Raw genomic sequence first — 20,709 nt, forward strand, 5'->3', positions numbered from 1 at the left:
TGGTTTTCCAGAAATGCAATTCGAAGAACAGTGTTACCAAGAGTCTGGGCTGTGGGTTGTAAGTAGAGCTGACTCCATTCAATGACAGAAGTATATTCCTTTACCTTAGGTTCTTTTAGGATCTAATGTTCTTTGGGAAAGAGGCTCAGGTGAAGAAAGGAGGAGGCCGATGCCAGCACCGGGAAGTGAGAGGAAGGAGACCCAGATAGCAGCAGGGCCAGCCGGAGCCCATTCCGGATGCCAGGCTGGGGAACTGGCAGGACTTCCCTTGCTCACACATCCTGGGGTGTAGCTGCACACGTTTGTGAACACACGCACACACACGCACACCTCGCACTCAGGCCCACAGGTGCTGCAAAGCTTAAGATCCAACCATGCCTTACAAAGCTGGAATGTAAGAGACTACTGAGAATTGAGTTCTGCCCTCCCTACCATGCAACACCCCCAGATAACTGAAACGGCAATTGGAAGGGGGAATCAATCTCACCAGGTCATTAAGCAAGCATAGCTCACTTTTACTCAAAACACTGTCCTTTAAAGTATAAAATAAGGGTCAAAGGTTTTTTTTTTTTTCTTTGTTAAGGTGTCTTTGACATTATTTTAAGTTTATGACACCCAACAATTAAAAACCTTAAGACTGGCTTGTTGCTGTCCTGTGAACTTTCAGAAGTCACATCTCACAGAAGTGCAACTCTCAATATAATTTAATCAAGTCAATTAATACTGTTTAATAAATAGGCCAGAAAATTAGCTGAGAGTTTTTCTCGGCGGGATGTGGCGTGCGACCGAAGTTATGGAAGATTGTCCCTTGAATCACTAAGGCAAACTTTGTTGAGTGTCATTTTACGTAGAGCAATCACATAAAAAAAGAGTTATAAATAGAAAAAATTCCAAAGTTCTCCCACAGACAGACAGGGAAATTGAAACATCAAAAAAAAAAAAAAATTGAAGCAAAACAAAAACACAACCACCCCTCCCCCCACAACCCATTTGCTTCAAGTTCTTGATCATACAGTACTCAACATCTTTGGATATTTTACAATGTACAATTCCAAACTGCAGCCAAGAAAAAACAGAAAGAACTAACCAGTCATCTGAAAAATTGAGTTTATAAGAAGTCATCACCTTTACAAAATAAAAACAAAAGCCCCAACACCACTGGATTCCAATTTATTCATGTTTCCTTTTTTTTTTTTTTTCCTCTCTTTTAAAGTCTGGTTCAGCCCCAATCACTTGGCTGATGGGGGGGAACACGGGGGCACGTTGGCTGGTGGACATGGGCATGCTTCAGAGAAAAGTGTCTGAAACGAAGACAGGAATCTGAGAGGCGGCTGCCCAGGCAGATGACTTCTGAGAACAGAGGGTGTGTGTAGCAATCCTGCTGGCTGGAGTGGCATCCGGTGGTGTGAAGAATCAGGGGGTCTCTTCTGGAGAGTTGTGAGAGGGACAGAGTCTGTGCTCTTCTCTGGCCTTTTTGTTTGTTGTGTTTTTGCTCAGGAAAAAGCCAAGGCAACAGGAAGAGCTGAAGTCTCTTTGTGCCCATAGCACAGGGATTGGGGACTCCAGCCCTGGGCTCTCCCTGGGGACGAACCCTCCTCCTCTCTGGGCTGCTCAGAAACCAAAGCAAACTTGGCAAGAAAAGAGAGGGGAGGGAAGGAGAGAGAAGGTCAGGAAGGCACGGGGCCAGCAGAGCCTTCCTTTTCAGGACCTGCTGCAAATTCAAGAACCAGGAGAACATGTGACAACTCTAACTCACAGAGCCCTTCAAACCTCAGAGGCCTCCACCTCCCTGCACTGAGCCCTTTTGTCAAAAATGGGGAGCCAAATACTCCCACTTCATCCCCAGAGGGAGGAGGAAGGGGTTGAGGGGGTTCTCACACAGCAAAGGGGACCATCACTAGCAATGCCAAGGCCCTGAGGAACCCTCAACTCAAAAAACAAACAGATAAACCCTAGAAACCGGTGTTTTGTCTGTTGTCAGGAATCAGGATGAGGGGAGACTGTTGCCAGGTGTTAAGAGGTGGCCCCCATCTCTTCGATGTTGGCCCTGAGAGCCCCAAGACACTGCACAGCCTTGGAGGGGGCACTGGAGATGGGGGTAAACATTAAATAGCGCCCCCAGGAGTCCAGACATGAACAGCGGCCTGCAGGGAAGGTAGGGTAGCATTCTGAGTTCGCAGAGCTACCTGTGGGCTTTGCTGAAGCTCGGAAGCTCCCCTGATGACCTGATCTCTGTCTAGTCTGGCCATATTTCTCACCTATGCTAATATGCTAATATAGAGCTGGATGTGATAAAACTAAGTCCAGAAAGATAAACTGTTTCCCCATGGACTTGGGGAGTACAAAGCTTCTACCATCTCTGTGATTCTCTGGGGGGATAGGTGTGTATGTGTTTAGAGGTGGAGGGCGGAAACCTCAGTTACCAGCCCCTTCCATAGCCAGGTGACACTGAGCTACAGAGGGCTGACCTGTCAAGGTCACAGGACAGGTCAGGGAAGAAATGGCCCGGGCCTTCCAGAGCCTGGTTCCTGACTGGTTCCAGGAGGCCTCCCTGCCAACAGAGCATTTCTTTCTATGTGGCAGGTGGGTAGTTCTCAAAAAGACCCCGGGGCCACTGGAGACTGGAAAATGAGCCCTCAGAGGAGTGTTGGCAGAGACTTTGCCATAGGGGGTGGGGCTTAACCAAGGTGCATGCCCAGCCCCTACCTCCTCCTGCTGTGGCTGGCTGGGCACCAGGCCAACCACCCCCTGACCCCTCATGACTCACCCAGCTCCTAAGTGCCCCTGGGCACCCAGTTCTTTGTGGCATGGGCCGGTGCAAGTTTCTATATGAGAGCCAGAGAGACAGGGAGGGAGGCCCGGGCTCCTGGCCTTTTGGGAAAAGATGCCCGTCTCAGACCAGCAAAAGGAGGCAGCTGCTTTAGGAGCCCGGGAAAATGCCATCACTGATAGTATTATTATTATTTTCCCATTTTCCCTTTGTGTTTTTAAAATGAAAAGTTCAGATCCATGGGGTAGGGTAGAGTGGGCCTGGAGGGAGAAGGACTGGAGGGCTGGTGGGCTGGAGCCGACAGGGACCAGCCTAGTTGTTGGCTTCGGACATGGAGGCCACGTGGTTGAGGCCGGCGAGCCCAGGGAGGCCGGCCAGGCCGGCGGCCCAAGGGTCGGGCAGCGGGAAGTAGGGCCGCGCCGCCGCCACGTTCTCGGCCAGCGCGAAGGCCAGGAGGCCCCCCGCGTTCCTCTCAGCCTCCAGCTGCGCGCGCCCGAACAGCTTCATCTGTGTCTCCTCGAACTGCCGCTCCAGCTCTTGCAGGCTCAGGGCGCCCTTGGGCGCTGCCAGGAAGTGCTTGGCGGGGCTGGGGCCCGGGAGGCACACAGCTGCGCCGCCCAGGTGGCCGCCCACCTCGCCCAGCGCAGGGGGCATCACGAAGGCCGCCTTGTCGGGGGCCGGGCCGCCGGGCCCGAAGAGCAGGCTGGCGGCCCTCCACGCAGCAGGCTTGCGGCCGCGTCGGGGCCGTGCCATGCGGCAGCTCTGGCGCTTGATGTGGCGGTGCAGGTGGTCAGAGCGCGTGAAGCTCTTGTAGCAGAACTCGCACTGGTAGGGCCGCACGCCCGTGTGGATGCGCATGTGGTTCTTGAGGTCGTAGTTGTGCACGAACTTGGCGTTGCAGTGGATGCACAGGTAGGGCCGCTCCCCTGTGTGCTTCCGCATGTGGATTTTCAGCTTGTCCTGCCTGCAATGCAGAGACTGGGGGTCAGTCCCGCAGGGAACACCAGGAGCCATTCCTAACCTTTTGCTCCCCCTTTCTCCAGAACCAGCCGAGGCTCCCTACTGCCATGGAGTCAAACCCCAGAAATAGGTCTCATGCTAGATCTACCCTCAACTGCTGCCCCACCTTAGACAGGTATGGTTACTCACCTGGATTAAAGGGATGCGGAAAAAGCAGTGTCCTGAAAGCCCCACTCCCCCAAACTCCTTTTATACCCGAGCTCAGAGTCATGAAACTCCCACTCTATTAGGGGTTTATCTCACATACTGGGAAGATACTTCGCCAGAAGTCAGCATTTCTGACCTTAGTCCTCGGATAGTGCAGCGACTTCTGCTGATACTGGACTGCACTTTAATCTCATACCCACTCTCTCCAGGCAACCTTATGCTTTCCCTCCAGTTCATCTATATGCTTTGGCCCAAAGTCCCTGGTCCCATCCCAGCCCCCGGGCTATTGAGATCTGTCTGTGTTTGGCACTAATCTGGGAGGCTATAGAAGCTTGGGCACACCTTGTTCAAACCTCCTGCATGGTGGTTTCTTATCCTAAGCCTTGGGCTCTCCTCTTTGTCTGTAGACAATTTCAGGGTTTACAAAAGAGCCAGGTGCGAAAAGAATGCAGCCTAATCTAGGGCAAAACTTTGCAGGGTTTAAGTGGTATTATTCACAGGTAAGGTATGGTGTAGGGTGGGGGCGCCTGCACCTATTGGGGGTCTGGGAGCCTCTGCGCCAGCTGCAGACCCACCACCAACTTGCTGGTGACTTCAGGCAAGTTACTTAACCTCACTGCCCAGAGCTGAACCTGGTGCCAGACATCAATTCTCATTGTCCAGGGCTCATGGAAAGAACCTGGGTCTGTGTGAGCTAGATTCCACACACCTCCTGGTGGTCTTGACAGGAAAACTGATATCAGGGGGTTGTTTTCATAAACACTGAGCATTGGGTAAACCAGCTTAAGGTGGCTGAGGTATAGGCAGCTGGGCTGCAAGAATTCCTCTTGGGATAATTCGCAGCCTTCCCCAGTGGGGCCATAGGGGCCAGGAAGCTCTGTGTCTAGTCTCCTACTTCCTCCCTGCAGGTGTGGCTTGGGTGGAGCATCTGCCTATAATTTCAGGCTCTGCTTTGAGGTTAGAACAGATGTGGAGTCCAGGTGTCCTCCCTAAGATGGCCAGATTTAAACCCTGTTTAACGTAATCCTAGGACAGCAGGTGCAGGTCCTAGGCTCCTGGTGTCTCCTGGCCACTAGAGGTCTCACCAGCTCTCATTTTCAAAATGGTTCTCCAGGGGCAGAGCAGGAGAGAAAAGGACATTCCCATGAATACTGGCAGGCACTGTGAGAGGAGGATCAGAGAGGACAGATCCAGTCCTCCCACCTGTGCTCACAGGAAGGCTGGAGAGCCCCTGGGAGTGAGGAGAAGGGAAGTGGGGTCACCCTCTTCCCCTCCACATCCCACTGCTCCTGCCTTTTTTCAAACCCACCAGCCACCCCTAGGCTACATAGTACTCTGCTGTGATATCCCACCCCCTACCAGCATGCTGTGGTCTCTGTAACCCAGATTTCACCTAGATGATTGGATTTTTGAGGAGGAAGGGACTTCAGAGACCATTTAGGCCAGTGGGTCTCAAACTTAAGGATGCATTCGAACCATAATCAGGACTCAATAAAACAGTGCTGGGCCCTACTCCCAGAGAGTCTGATCAGTAGGTCTGGGATAGGGGAGAGGGACAAAGGATTTGCATTTCTAACCAGTTGCCACATGCTGGTGGTGGTGGTGGTCCGTGGACCCCACACTGAGAACCACCGGTCTAGGCAAAGCCTCCACTATGTAGGTGGGCAAACAGACCCAGCTGGGGAACTTGCCAAACTCACCCAGAGGGTCATGGCAGGCCCGGGAGTCAAGGCCTCTTTTCTCACCACAGCACTGTGACTGTGAAAATGGAAGTGTCGGGTGCCTGTACCCCTGGAGTGATGCAACTTCCCAGTCCTGAGGGATATGTCTTGGGCCTCCACAAATTCACCCAGGCTCTGATGGAAACACTGATGCTAGGTGGTCGGCTGGGCTCCCTCACCAGGCCTGGCAGAGGGCTCAGCTCAGAATCAGCTAAGCAGGGCTTTAAATGCATCATCTCATTACTCCTCACCACAACCTATGAGGTAGGTTTTTTTATTTTTATTTTTATTTTTTTGAGACAGAGTCTCACTCTGTTGCCCAGGCTGGAGTACAGTGGCATGATCTCGGCTCACTGTAACCTCCGCTTCCCAGGTTCAAGTGATTCTCCTGCCTCAGCCTCTCGAGTAGCTGGGATTACAGGCATGCACCACCACGCCCGGCTAATTTTTGTATTTTTTTAAGTAGAAACGGGCCTTCACCATGTTGGTCAGGCTGGTCTTGAACTCCTGACCTTGTGATCTGCCCACCTCGGCCTCCCAAAGTGTTAGGATTACAGGCGTGAGCCACTGTGCCCGGACAAGGTAGGTTTTTTTTTTTTTTTTTTTTTTTTTTTTTTGAGACGGAGTCTCGCTCTGTCACCCAGGCTGGAGTGCAGTGGTGCGATCTTGGCTCACTGCAAGCTCCGCATCCCGGGTTCACACAATTCTCCTGCCTCAGCCTCCTGAGTAGCTGGGACTACAGGTGCCCACCACTACGCCTGGCTAATTTTTTTTGTATTTTTAATAGAGACAGGGTTTCACCATATTAGCCAGGATGGTCTCGATCTCCTGACCTCGTGATCTGCCCACCCCAGCCTCCCAAAGCGCTGGGATTACAGGTGTGAGCCACCGCCCCTGGCCAGGTAGGTTTTTTTTAAGTCACTATTACACATAATTAGTAGCACTGACCCTTAGGGTCACTCTCAAACAATGGACAATATAAGTGGTAAATCTTCAAATGCCTCCCAAACTTCTCATTAGTGTATCTAAAAGAAGTCCCATTTTTGTGGCAATTGGTCCAAGGATGTAAGAAGTGCTGAGAAGGTGCCTACGATATCCTTTTATTGAACATCTGCTATGGGCAGGTAAATACATGACTTCATTGACCCTGGGAATTCATTATTCAGAGGCATATGGTATAGAGGTAGGGCCCCTCCAGGAGTCTGGGAGTCCCTGTTGTAGCTTCAGACCCACCACCAACTTGCTGGGTGGCTTTAGGCAAGTTATTTAACCTCTCTGTGCAGAGCTAAACCTAGGACCAGACATCACTTCCCATTGTCCAGGGCAGATGGAGAGAATCTGGGTTTGCGTGAGCTAGATTCAACACACTTGGTGTAATTTCCTCACTTGGACACAGGCAGAAAGGAGGCTCAAAGAAGTTAAGAGCTTCCCAAAGGTATACAGCTGGTGGGGGCAAAGGAACCTGGGGGGCTACCTGGCTGTGGTTTGTTTGTAAGCTATTCTGGGGATGAGAAAGGATGGATTTTCACAGCAGGGATTCCCAACCTGAGGCCTAAGAGGACTGCTGCAGAAAGGGCAGACCAGAACAATCAAGAGAGGGCACCGGTAGCCAGCTTTCTGCCTCTGTGGCCAGAAGACTGGGGTATGCCAATGGGAGGAACTCAGCCCTAGGCAGGAGCTTTCCCTAATGGAGACATTTGTGGGAATGGGGGCAAGGGGTGGGAAGAGTAGGCAAAGCTCATGATAAGCCAGTGCTGGAAAAAACTTCAGAGGATCATCTAGTTTACCAGGCATACTTTACCACATTCTGATTCATGGTCTGAGTCAGTGGGCCCAGTAAGTGACACTATTAGCAGTACACTTCTCAGGACCTTGAAAACACTGATCTAATTACTTCCAAGATAAGGAAAGAAAGGACCAAAGAGGGAATGGTGTTCTAGGGCCACACAGCCTCCTTCTTTACACTGACCTTTCCTGTGGATACTGTGACGTGCATTGGAGCTGGAGGTGGTGCCGGGCACACTCCAAGAACTAGATCAGTTCCCTTCCCTGGTCTGGGCCTTAGTTTCCTGATCTCTAAAATGCGGGTTGGGCTGCATCCTTGGGGCCTCTAGTGCTCCATGAGTGTATGCATCTGGGTAATGGGCTTCTGCCAAATCTCCTTCTGGAGTCTGTTTGGCTGGCTGGCTTCCTTGCTGCTTCACATATTCAATCTGCCTGTGGAAGCAGCGTGAGTTTAGCTGGAATATGTTCTAGCTGGAATCTCAAGAGCTGAGCTCTTAGTTACTTCTCTGTAGGAATGGAGGTCTGGCAGTTCCACTTAAAACTTCCCAAGGCCCCCTTGTCCAATGGCCTGTGTGCTCACTTACCCCTTAGCATGGCTTTCTGGGCTCTTCACAAGCTCACTGCCATCTCCTCTGCCAGCTTCCTGCCTGCCCCCCATGGTACGCTGCCCCACACTCTGGGCAACTCTGCATCTTTGAACACCTGCAGGTATGAACTGGACTGCCGGTCCCCCAGTGCACAGCCCACCACATTACAGGGTGGATGCCCTGTAAACCCTGGCTCCTTCCCCGTGTGTGCATGTCTTGTGCTTGGACACTGATGCTCTATCCTTAGGGCCCTCCCAGAAGGCCAAGCCCAGAGCCAGGGTGCCCCTTCCTCCCAGCCCTCTTCCTCCCAGCCCTCCTCCTCCCAGCACTCCTCCCTGCACGTGGCATGGAGTTCTGGTACCTGCTTTGATGAGAACCTGTGGGATGCTCTTTCGTACTCTGCACAACACACAACACTGAATGTAGATAGAGAGGAGGCTCACTGCGCGTTTGGTGACTGACTAGTGGTGCCAATTTCAGAACTCTCCGACTACAAATCCAACATGCTCCCCTCTGGCCCTGGTCCCCTTGTCTGCCATCTCGTTCCATCTCTCTGCATCAGGGACAGCCAAGGACATATGCACCCAAGCCTCGGTCTACATGCCTCCTTTCAGCCTGGAGAGCTCATCGTCGGGAAAGTCATGTGAGTCCTCATGAGCTCATTCCCAGAATCAAAGAAAAGGGCTGTGGGGCCTTGGCCTGAGGTCTGTGGCCTCCAGAAAGGCTCCCAATCAGGATAATGCTTTCCCAGCAGCCTCTACCTGGACTTCTTGTAACCCGATGGTTTGAGACACACTCTTCCTGCTACCACTGCTAATGCCATTACATTATCTTAATAGGGTTCCCAGAGCTGCCAGGAGTGGGAGGACTACAAAGAAAATAGAGGGAAGACAAAAGCCAGGCTGCTGGCTTATCTGGAGAGCAGGCAGCTGTGGGGGCACAAAGGTGGTCAGCATTCGGCTGGCACTGGAGGAGGCAGGTGGAGACTAAAAGGCACAGCCTTCGGGGTTCAGCGGAACTGGAAAGCGTGCCTTGTCAGAGAGTGACTGCGGTGCAGAGGTCGTCCATCCCCACCCAGGACGGTGTGCTCTATGGGACCTCTGCTGTCTCTGGGCCAGTCTGTTTTCATTTTGCAGTTTCTTGCCTTCACTACTGTCCCCATCAGGCATGGCTGGGGCATCTCTGGGAGCCAGGCTGTGACAGGATGCAGGGGCTCCAGGAGGGAGACCAGCCAGCCATGCTCTCTAGGAGCTACTAACAGAAGGGCTGGGGGAGGCAAGGGGCAAGTCTCTATGGCCTGCAATCAAGGACCCATGTGGTGGGAATTAAGAGGCGGAAGATGCACAGGCTTTCACAGGGCCCAGGGCCAGGCCCAGTTGGCAGTGATGGCTGCAGATGGGGCAAAAAGGTGTGCGGGGGCCACCTGGACCTGGGATGTCCGTGGGCAGGGAAAATACCCACCAAGCATAGCAGTGTCCCTGTGCATGAAGACAAATGCTTTATCTTCCTGAGATCACATGCTCCCTGTTCTTCTAGGCCCTTCCTAGGCATCACCTCTGGCCGAAGCCTGCCATCCTAACCTTTGGCTCCTGGCTTCCAGACTTTCTGGGAAGAGAAGGGAAAGGATTCCTGATGAAGAGGATCTAAGGTAATCTTGGTCCAGACTGCCTCTGCCCTATGACCTGGAGCTGTTTCTGTGTCCCAAGTCAGACCTGAAAGGGACAGGAGCTGCCTCTGTGGCCAGCACAGGCACAAGCCTTTCCCAGGAGGAAAACGGTGTCTTTGAACTAAACCGAGGGAGTGCACAGGCAAAGGGAGCCCAAGTGGCTATGGGGTGACCAGAGCTAGGAAGGGACAGCATGGGGCCAAAGAAATAGTTTGGTTGATGCCGTTGAGGCCCTGCCTAGGGAGATTTCATATTTGGAACAGATCAGTGGTGGGACACCTGGTAGGACTGGCTGGAATCTAGAGCTGCCTCAGAGGTGAGGTTCCTGACACCAAAGAACAGACAATACCATTGTGGGGCGGCCTCTGTCCCTCCTCTCTAGACCCACAGAATGACAGCAGCAGGCAGGGCCTTAGGGGTGAAGGGGCTCTGCTGGAAGGATTCCCATGTCCTCCCCCTGGGTTGTGGCTGCTGAGGTCATTAGTACGTCCCCGTGGGGTGTGGACATTCTGGGAGCTGGCATCTGGGAGGCTGTGACTCAGAGCCTGGGCTGAAGGGCTACCATGCAGGGGAAGGGCAGGCCTCTCCAGCACCCCATGGGGTGGGGCGGGGAGGGTGTCACAAGACCCTGAGCTCTTCCCAACATCAAGGAGGGAGGAAATGGGGCTTTGCCAGGGCAGAAGCTCAGCTGTGATGAAGGAAAGACTCGGGTTCCAGAAGGGGAAATGGAAATCATGTCCGAGAGAAGGACCTGAGGGCAGCATGTCTGGGTCCTTGCTGCGGGGACAAGAGTGACATGACAGGGCCCAGTCTCAGGAAGTGGCGTGGCCTTGGAAGGGAGTCTGGGAATTCTGCGTCAACGAGGCAGCCGTCTCTGCTCTAAGTGGCTGCTGAAGAGCTTCCAGGTGGAAGGGGCAGGTGTTAGGAATCGCGTTGGGGAATTCAGCCAAAAATAAGGTCCCCGTGGAAAGGCTGCAGGGAGCCTTGGCCACAGGGAGAATTACAGGAAAACCTCAACCTGGACAGACCACGCTTGGGGCTCTTCAAGCACGGAAAAGAATCCTTGCCGGGCAGTTCCAGAGATGGGGTGAGAAGCAAAGGCCCAGTGATTCTGAAGAATGTGAGGGGGAGGAGAGTGGGGAGTGTCCCACAAGGACAGCCACAGCCCACAGTGAGCAATAAAGCCTCTGAAGGGAGGCAGGCTGGAGCCATCTCCTCCACCCTGCCTTTCCCCAGCTCGGGGTTTCTCTCCTCCTGGGAAGAGAAGGACCCAAGAGCTTGTCTGATCTTTTTCGGGAGGGTCAGAGACCAGTGGGAACAAGTGGTGGGGGTGCTGAGGGGGCTGCAATGCAGCAGCTTCAGCTGGAGACAGGCCTGGGGCCAGATGGCCGTCATTCTGGAGCAGGAGGAACCCAAGGCCAGATGGCTGGATGACCAGAGCTGCCCCACTGCCTATCATCTGGCTGGGAGTGGGGACTGCAGACAGAGAGGCCACCCCAAGTGACCATCAGGAATGTGCTGGGAGGGAGGAACCTGGAATGTCACCCTCCTATACAACACAGCACTGCTGCCCAAACCAGGACGCCCACTCCCAGAGAATGTCCCAGGGTCCAGAGGGTGAGAAGTCTGTCTGCAGTGACTACGCACGGTTAAAACCTTCCCTTAAAACAGGGTGCACAGACTGTCCAGACCTGGCGTGGACCTCACAGAAGGCTGTGCGTGGGGAAGGCCCAGAGGAAAGGGAGTGGGGAAGAAGGGAGATGGGGTCTCAGGGTGCCAGCAGGGCCACCGTGCGATATCCTGAGACACAGATAGATCCTTTTGGAATTGGAGTCACCAGCCTCGGTCTCCCCTGAAGGGAGAGGTGCTCCTGTTAGCCATCTGCCAAGGGGGCAGGCATGGGCAGTTAGGGAGGCAGAGCCTGCGTTGGCAGGAGAGGGCGCTCCAGGCTGATAACATGGCTGGCTTTCCTGATCTGGCCTGTGAAGAGCTTCCTGGCATCCTTAAAGTCATATGCAGGGGCTGGGACTCTCGGGCTGAAGCCAGGCCCCCCGTGAAGATGGGTGAGCTGTACTTGAATCTGGCTTTCACACGGTGCTCTGGCTTATCTCCCTCGGTATTCCTGTGCTTTTGCCAAGCCTTGTTCAGGTGTTCTGCCTGGTTCTGTGGGGCTAAGGTGAATTCAGGAGGAGGTAGGGGGCAGCATCACCCACGGTGGCATTGGGGTGGCAGGGCTGTCACTGAGGGACATCCAAGGGGAGGTGAATCTCAGGAACCTTGGGTCCATCTGCTCTGGGGAGTAACAGGAGCAGGGCGCCCTGCTGTCAGCATTGCCGGGTGGCTGGCCTAGCTCACTGCTAAGGGCAAGGGAACACATCCTGGGTCTGTGAGGCCCTTCCCCTCTGCTCCTGCAGATTCTCCCTCTACTGTCACTGGAAGCACCTGGGACAGATGCTGTCTGGGGTTCCCCTCACAGAAGCAGCTGTGAGCAGGACCCCAAGGCCACCTTGGAAATAATCAGTGTTTCCTTCAAAACAGTCCCCTGAGGAGCCTGCAGAGCTATTTCAGCCACACCAGTGTCACCTGAATGGATTTCTGAAACTCTTCTCTGGCAACTTCCAGTAGTTTCCAAGCAACCCAGAAGAACAGGTCTCATGACTTTAGAGGACTCATCTTTTTTTTTTTTTTTTTTCCTGGAAAAGCATAGTCCCTGATTTGATATCCAGTCTCATTCACAACCTTGCACTGTGTCCTTGGGCCAAAGCTTTGGGCCCACTGAGGAAAATCAAAAGAATGAGCTGCCACCAATTCCCAAAGATACATCTCCAAGAGGAAGTGGGGCAGCAGCACCGCCACCGGAACAAGTGTGGGTCTCTCAAGGTGAGTTCTCTGAGAGGGACAGTGGCAGGGTGGGGAAGGGACCTAGTCTAGTAAGTCATGTTCACAGGGCAGGCATCGCCAGGCTCTGTACACACAGGATACACTGAAATGACCAAACCCTGATGCCAGGCCACCCACCAGAGCCCTCCCCACCTGTGGACATGGCTGAAAAGATCAGCCTCACACCAGGAACCAGAGATAGCACCAATGGGCCGTATTTTCCAAAAGTGAGGCCTAGCCAAAGCTGGCAGTGGGCAGATCTGACCCCACGTCAACCCGCCAATCAGTTTTGAGTACAAAAGTTGCTGTGCAGAGTAGGCATATAACATATGTTTGCTGAATGGGACAGAGTCTATGAAAGATGAAAGGTTTATAATGTATTGATTTCAAATTTCAAATTTTATAACAGCATAAAGTTGTCCCCCTTCCTTAAATGGAAAGGCAAAGAGGAGAACATAAAAAGAGGCCCAGCCTTTAGGTCTGACCCCAAAATGATTGAGAGGACCTACAGGCATCTCTGCAGTCTACTGGTCACCGGCTTTGCTATTACACAGAGGCTGAGATTCCAGTCTCAGCTCTGCCATTTTCCAGCTGCACACATGCTTGGTCAGCTAGCCACTGGGAGATGTGTCATAAACAAAGTCAACCACGTCTCCCCATCTTCCCAGGGCCTAGCTGTGGTAAGCATGTACTTAAGGTGCCGAGGACGGCCCCTGGCATGCAGAATATGCTTAATAAAGGTCAGTGGCTGCTTCTCCAAATCAAACAAAGGGGCGGCACTCCATCTGGGGAGGGCCATCCATTCAAACTGGGTTCCACAAATTTACAGCTGGAAGGAGAAGAGGAAGCCAAGCAACCAAGGTGCTTGAGGCGCCTCACTTCCTTCCCAGCCAGAACAGCCCTGCTCTTACCTGCTTCATGTCATGGGCTTCCACCTAATATTGTATCTGAGAAAATACTGCAGCCCCTAAAAAGGGCTTGAAAGTCACAGCACCAGGTGATGCCTAGCACCCCTGCTAGCCACGAGCCTGCATGTGTGTGGGATCTATCTGGGTCTCTGTCTCCACCGCCAGCCTCCCTGCCCAACTCTGCTGTCCCCCATGGCCTCTGGCCCCGTGCCCCACACCCGAGGGCTGCCATGCGCACCTGGTGAAGCGGACCTCGCAGATGGTGCACATGTATGGCTTCTCCCCGGTATGGGTCCTCATGTGCCGCGGCAGCTTCCCGGCCCCCATGATGACTTTGTGGCAGATGGGGCACTGCTGAGAGGCCTTGGGCTTCAGCTTGCGCTCTTCTACCAGGGGCCAGGGTGGGAAGAGGCCTCCCAGGTGGGTGGCACTCAGGAAGTTGAGATAGGCACCGTAGTCGTTCTCCGCCTTGATGGGTCCCAGAGGCCCCCCCGGCAGGTCAGGGAACATGTCCTTGAAGAAGTCATTAGGGAAGGGTGGCGGTGGGGGTGGGGGCAGCTCCTCCTTCTCCTCCTCCTTGATCTTCCGATTCTTGATGACCAGATCCAGTGGCCCACTGTCCATGGGCTGCTCAGGCAGCTGGGCAAAGGCACCGAAGTCCCCTGGCCAGAGGTGTGGAAAGAAGTCCGGGGCGAATGGAGACAAGGAGGGTCTCCTGTCGGGGATGTTGGCCTTGGGGTACAGGTTCTCCCTTAGCAGAGATTCGATGGAGAAGTCCCGGATCACCCCCAGATGGCCAGGACTGCCAGCCTGGAAGGAGTCAGGGAAGTCCCTGGGGGTGTCTGAATAGGCCTTCTCTGTGAGATGGTCTGTCTTGGAAGGGCTTTGGTGGCAGCTGATGTCCTGGGGGTCAGGCAAGTTTTCTTGGTCAGCAAAGTCCTCCGTGTCATCATCGTCATCCTCCTCCTCTTCCTCCTCCTCCTCTTCGTCCTCCTCATCATCATCATCTTCGTCGTCGTCATCGTCCTCCTTGTCATCCTCCTCCCCCCCGTCCCCCCCAGGCTCCATGATCTCCAGGCACACGTTCACGATGCACTGGATCTCCAGCATCCTGGCTGCGTTGAGGATGTGCTTGACATTGCCAGCGGTGATGGTGAGCGTGGAGGTGTAGGCGAACTCCAGGATAGCAGCCAGAGCCTCAGGCTGGACAAAGTCGATCTCATAGACGTAGGGCTGGCTGGCTAGGGTGCCGGCTGTGAAAAGCTTCTTGAAGTACTTGCTGCAGGCAGCCAGGACGGAGCGGTGGGTCCGATACTCCTGCTCCTGCACCACCAGGAGCACGTCACACAGCAGGCCATCGTGCCGTTGCTCATTGAGGCTGCACAGGACCTCACTGCTGTGGTTGGGGAAGGGAATGCCAATGAGCTCATCAATGTCATTGGCCATGTTCTCAGCCAGAGCCCTGCAGAGACACACAGAGAAGAAGACTGGGTTAGTGAGCGTGGCCCCAGGAGGGGTCTCAACTCTAGGACTCTGAGCCACCTCCTTGGCATAAGGGCTCCCTGTCCACTGCAAGGCCAGTCCTCCTACCTCTTAGCCTTGCCAAATCTCACCTGCAATTCACAGCCTGGCTTACAAGCTGGGGCTTTTCTCTGGACCCCTAAGACTCTTAGGGATAGGCTTCTCACTGGGCAGCTGGTGTCAGCTACTCACCAAAGGCTGCAAGCCTTCTCTCAGGCTTGGTGTTACTGATTTCCACTTTGCCAACATGCAGTTGCAGAATACAACTGCAGGATGAAAAGCCTCATGAACCTAGCTGTTGCCTTGGCTGCAGGAACAGGACCCACCTCTGTGGGGCAAGGACCTCTCAGTGCTTCTGCTGAGAAGATGCTCTGATTTGTCTCACAAATCCTCTGATTCTGTAACAGACTTACACTTTGCACTGGCTACTAGGAAGCTTAAAACAAATTTCGTGGCCCATTTTCAGCAAGTAAATGGGGGCCTTGTGGTATGTTTTGCTTCCTGACCTTACTCGTTCATTGCAGTTGAAGTTTCCTTCCATTTGTAAATCTTGATCCTTTTTTTAAAAAAAAAACACTAACTTCCTATATGTGTATATCTGAGAGTGATTTCACCTATAAATATTTAAATTCAATACAAATATAAATGCAATATTCAATATAAATATAATGCAATATAAATATAAATTCAAGTACATTGTTAGTTAATTTTTCATGTCTAAATTCTGTCAGCCTCATGAAAATATCAACCCCTGTGGTGAGAAGCGTCTTCTGAGACACCTTATCATTGTATATGTTATACATAAAGTATGGCCAGTGGCAGCCACCAGAAGAAAGCAGGGCACGACAGGGGACAACTGGCATCCCTTCCTTTCAGGAAGCACAGCTCACAGCCCAGGTGAACACAGTCAACTGGGACAAAATGTGGCATCTGCCAGGGCAGGTAGGGGCGTCCAAGGAGAGAATATAGTCATGGGTTGTTTGTTAGTTTCTGGTTGGGCCAGTAAAGCCCCTTCCTCATCCCTCTTTTCCACTTATCACTAGAGACAGAAACTAAACAAACACCATGGCTTCAGGCTGCTAAAAGCCTAAAACAAAACAAACAACAAATCAGAACAACAACAACAATAAAATAAGGTGGGTTGGACAAGCTTCATAGGGCTCTTCTACTTACAGCAAAGCTTCAACATGGCTCATCTAGATAAATCCTAGCAAAGCCCTGGCCCTTATCTTGGTACAAATAAAGTGGGGAGAAAACAAAAAGGAAAACAAATCCTAAAGCCCCACGCCCCAGTGGGAAGAGTTCTGGAGATCCTTACACATTTATCTTCTGGATGTTTCTGTCCTGGGAAGGCAGAGGCAGGGGGAGGGGAGGAGTGAGAAGTATACGCTCATAAAGTGTGAGTGGGCACTGGGAAGGCAGCAGGCATGGAGGATGCTGGGTGCCCCTCCGCTGCCCTCACCTTCTCCTCCACCATGGGGCAGCCCAGGCGTTCCCTAAGCAATCCCACTGGCCAGGTGTTCAGGAGGCTTCCCAGAGCTAAGGCCTCACTGCTTTCCCACCTTCTCATCTTTAAAAGGGCCAGAGACCCTGGCAGTCCATGCATTCATTCTCTAAATATTATTGGGTAGTCTCCCTGTGCCAGGCTCTGTACTGTACTCTGGGGATGCACAGAGAACAAATCAAGAAGGCCTCTGCTCTAACAGAGCTTAGAGGGACATAACAACTGCAATAAAAATGTACAGCAAGATTCACCAAACAGAGTATACAGATGGCAGATAAGCCATCTAATCTGAAAAGATGTTCAATATCATGAGCCATTAGGGAAATTCAAATTAAAACTATCATAAGACATCACTACATACATAGGATAGTGGCTAAAATAATAAAAAAATACTGATAACACCGAATGCTGGTGAGGATGTGGAGAAAAGGATCACTCGTATATTGCTGGTAGGAATGTAGAATGGTACAGCTATTCTAGAAAATGATTTGGCAGATCTTAAAAAACAAAATATGCAACCGCCATATGACCCAGCAATTGAATTCTTGAGCATCTACCCCAGAGAAATGAAATCTTATGTCCATGAAAAACTCATACACAAATGTTCATGGTCACTTTGTGCACGATAGTGAGTAACTGGAAATAACCTAGACATCCTTCAAAGGTGTATGGCTAAACATTGTGGTACATCCATGCCAGGGAATACTATTCAGCAATAAAAAGGAGTGAATTCTCAATATGTGCAACAGCCTTGATGAATCTCCAGGGAGTTACGCTGAGTGAAAAAAGCCAATCCCAATGGGTTAGATATTGCATGATTCCATTTATATAACATTCTTGAGATGATAAAGTTATAGAAATGGAGAAGAGATGAGGGTTGCCAGGGACTAAGGAGGTGGTGGTGGTGGGAGGGAAGTGGGTGTGGCTATAAAAGGGCAACAGGAGGGATACTTGTGATGGAAATGTTCTGCATATTGATTATACCAGTGTTCATATCCTGGTTGATATTGTACTATGGTTTTGCAAGATGTTACCACTGGAGAAAATGCGTAAAGGGTACATGAGATGTCTCTGTATCATCTCTTACAACTGTAGCTGAAACGATAAGTATCTCAAAAGAAAAAGTCTAAGAGAAGCAAATGACGGGAAACAACCTAAAGCCACTAATCAATCTCCTCGCTTCTCTCCATCTCTCATCCAGCTATCTACCACAGAGCTGTAAGGGAGGAGAGGAGGGGGGCGCTTTACCCAGGGTGAACAGGGGAGGCTTCCTTGAGGAAGCATCATTTGAGCAGAGACCTAGAAGAGGAGAAGGATCCAGCATGGGAGGATGTGGAGAACAGTGTACCAGGCTGTGGGAACAGTGGCACAAAGTAGGCAGCCCCACCAAGGTGCCCTTGGTCTGAGGGGCCAGGTTCTGTTCTGAGTGGCCCCGTTGAACATGGTTCTTGTCTATTGACAAACCATTCCACTTCTGCATTTCTCTGGGGGCTCAGATGGACCATACCCACCCAGATCCCTCGAGGGCCTGTGTAGGATTAGTTGATGGACACCCCTCCATCTCTCTGACCAGGGAAGGTGTCCCCAGGCTGAGGCTTCAATGAGCTGTGCTGCAGAGAGAGCTCTGAGGCCACCTCCTACATCTCCACATCCTCCCATGCTGGATGAGGAGAGAAGCTCCTAGTGACTTCCTCCTTTCCCTGGTTCCCCACTGTAGTGGTGGGCACCCAAGGGAACGCAGAGGGCTTAGGAAACCAGGGCAGCCTGCGTGGTTGCATGCCAGCAGGCTCCTTTGGGGCTGCCATGCCCCAAGAAGGCTGCCTTTGGGCAGCTGGGCTGGGGGCCAGCAAGCAGCCCCTGGAGGCCTGGATCAGATGGGAGGCCTCAAGTCTGAGCCACATTTAGTTTTGGATGCTCAGAGTCAGGTGTGGTGTGAGCATCTGTGCAGTGGGCAAGGGGGACCCATCAGATACCTGTCCCACCTCCTTGGCCCCAAGCTCTTTGCTTCAGATTCCATTTATATAACAGGACCCATGAAACGAACTGGGAGGATAGGGCAGGACAAGCAGGCACCTTCTCTTTTCAGGTTAAATATCCTCCCTAAACAATGGGTTTCCCAAAGAGGAGTCAGGACTGCCATCTGCCCTTAGGCTTACTCAGTCCTCACAATAACGCATTTAGCTCCTATTGTTACCATCGTTCCCATTTTACAGATGAGGGAAATGAAGCCACTAAGAGCTGATACACAGAGGATGAGTGAGGGCACAGAGACCTGAGCCTGCATCTGGCTCCCCAGGCCATGCTCCCAACCACAGCCAATTGCAGCTCCTGCCTCTGATCACAAAAGTAACCAAGAAAGGACAGTAGTCTCTGCTAACACGTAATGAGTGGCCCAGACTGCAGGTTCAGAGGTGCTTAGGGATGCCTTTGTGGTGGAGGGAGGGAAGGATTTGGGTGGCACTGCCCTCCAGGGACAGCCAAGCAGGCAAGGGCCGGCAGGGCAGACTGGAGCCCTCCAGGCAGGCTTGGCCAGCCTCAGGGGCTGGAATGTGGAGACCACCCCAGCCCCAGGCTACTGTCTTTCTCATAGTGTTGGAGAGGGGTCCTCTCCCTTGCTCGCTCCCCAGACAGCCTCCCCTACTCTGTGTAAGTTTTGGTGGTGGTTTTGGCAAAGCTCTGCCGGGGGTAAGAAGAGAAGGGGAGAGAAGAAAATAGAGCTGTGGCTCAATCAGCCTTTCCCATCCCACTTTCTGAGCACAGCTGAGTGGGTGGTCACCTGGATGGACTGAGTGGCCACAATGCTCCCCTCCAATGTGCCCTAAATGTACCTTTGAAGCCCCTACTCTCCAATCCCTAAACACACACCCTGTTCTCAGCTGCCATGCCTTTGTTCATGCTGAACTCTTGGCTGGAGATTACAACTGATCTCGCACTTCCGGGGGTCCACATCCCATCCACACTTCAAGGTCTCACTTAGACAACCCTTTCCCCATCCCTCAATTCAGAGGCTCCATCTCTCCAGCCTTCGGTCTCCTGATTCTTGCCATTTATTTGACTCTGCCTTGAACTGTAATGATTGGTGTCTCTGCTAGATTGTAAGCTGCTTGAGGGCAGATCATATCATTAAATGCTTAGCACAGTCCTGACACAAAGTTGGTGGAAGGTCTATGGCAAGGGCTGTCCTTAGCTGCCATGTTGTGAGGATGCTCAAGCAGCCCTAGGGAGAGGTCCCCATGGCAGAGGATTGAGGCCTTCTGCCAACAGCCAATGCCAACTTGCTAGTTGAATGGGTGAGCCACCTTGAGAGTGGATCCTCCAGCCCCAGTCAGGACTCCCGACGACAGCAGCCCTGGCTGACATCTTGATTGCAACCTCATGAAAGACACTGAACCAGGACTGCTCAGTTGAGCATCTCCTAAATTCCTGATCCACAGAAACTATGAGGCAATAAATGTTTATTCTCACTTTAAGCCACTACATTTTTGTGTTGTTATGCAGTAATAGATAATAATCCAGTGACATCATTTCACAGACACTATAGATTTGTGATATTTATCATAATTTTCTGGCAGATGGCAGTTAAATGTCTCACCTTAACAAAATCCGTGTATTACAACAATGTTTTGATAGATGGAAGCAAATGTATTGAGGAAGTGACACCTTTTTCTAATTCTCACAAAGCCACCCTGTAGGTAGCAGGGTCCTGACCCTCAAAGGGGTCTTCCCATCTGAAAAGACTGTGTGTAAATGAAACGACCCTTCCACTGTTAAGTAAAAAGCCAAAGTCAGTAAAACCCCAGGAAATTAGTTCTCTATGGAGAGCCAAGTTTTCTTGCTTGCTAAGGGCTTATTCCTTTAGAGATGAAAATGTTTTAAAATGCTTTTCAGGGAAAATTCCCACCATTCCTTAAACTTTACTCTGCCTTTTAAAATAGAAGAGCTGGAACCCGTTAGTCCACGTGTTGGTGATCAGCGTCCCACTGTGATAACCATCCGAGCACTCTGAGAAATGGCGTGTGGTTGTCCTGTGCTAAGTGTGGATCTTCTGTGCTTTGAGAGCAATGTCTACTTGCGACTCACAATCAGGAAACCACAGCTGTGTGACTTTGGGAGGCCCTTCCACTTCTCTGGACTTCTGTCTCATCATGTGATAGGATGGTTACGAGAAATCTGATAACATCATGACCATGAGGAGCCAGA

General features: G+C 51.9%; 1 protein-coding gene across 18 annotated transcripts in view; it reads right to left on the reverse strand.

Annotated features, from left to right (window-relative positions):
- Positions 1-494: 494 nt before the first annotated feature.
- Positions 495-20,709, reverse strand: part of ZBTB7C (zinc finger and BTB domain containing 7C) — a 385,914-nt gene continuing 365,699 nt past the window's right edge. For all 18 annotated transcript variants that reach the window (NM_001371287.1, XM_047437347.1, XM_047437346.1 and 15 more), the window contains 2 exons: positions 13,723-14,946; positions 495-3,734 (listed from right to left, as the gene is read on the reverse strand). In NM_001371287.1, the coding sequence (NP_001358216.1) occupies positions 3,083-3,734; positions 13,723-14,930 (1,860 nt within the window). In that variant the 5' untranslated portion in view covers positions 14,931-14,946 and the 3' untranslated portion in view covers positions 495-3,082. The remainder of the gene's footprint in view (positions 3,735-13,722; positions 14,947-20,709) is intronic.

Source organism: Homo sapiens, chromosome 18, assembly GCF_000001405.40.
Source record: "Homo sapiens chromosome 18, GRCh38.p14 Primary Assembly".
Taxonomy (NCBI): Eukaryota; Metazoa; Chordata; class Mammalia; order Primates; family Hominidae; genus Homo; species Homo sapiens.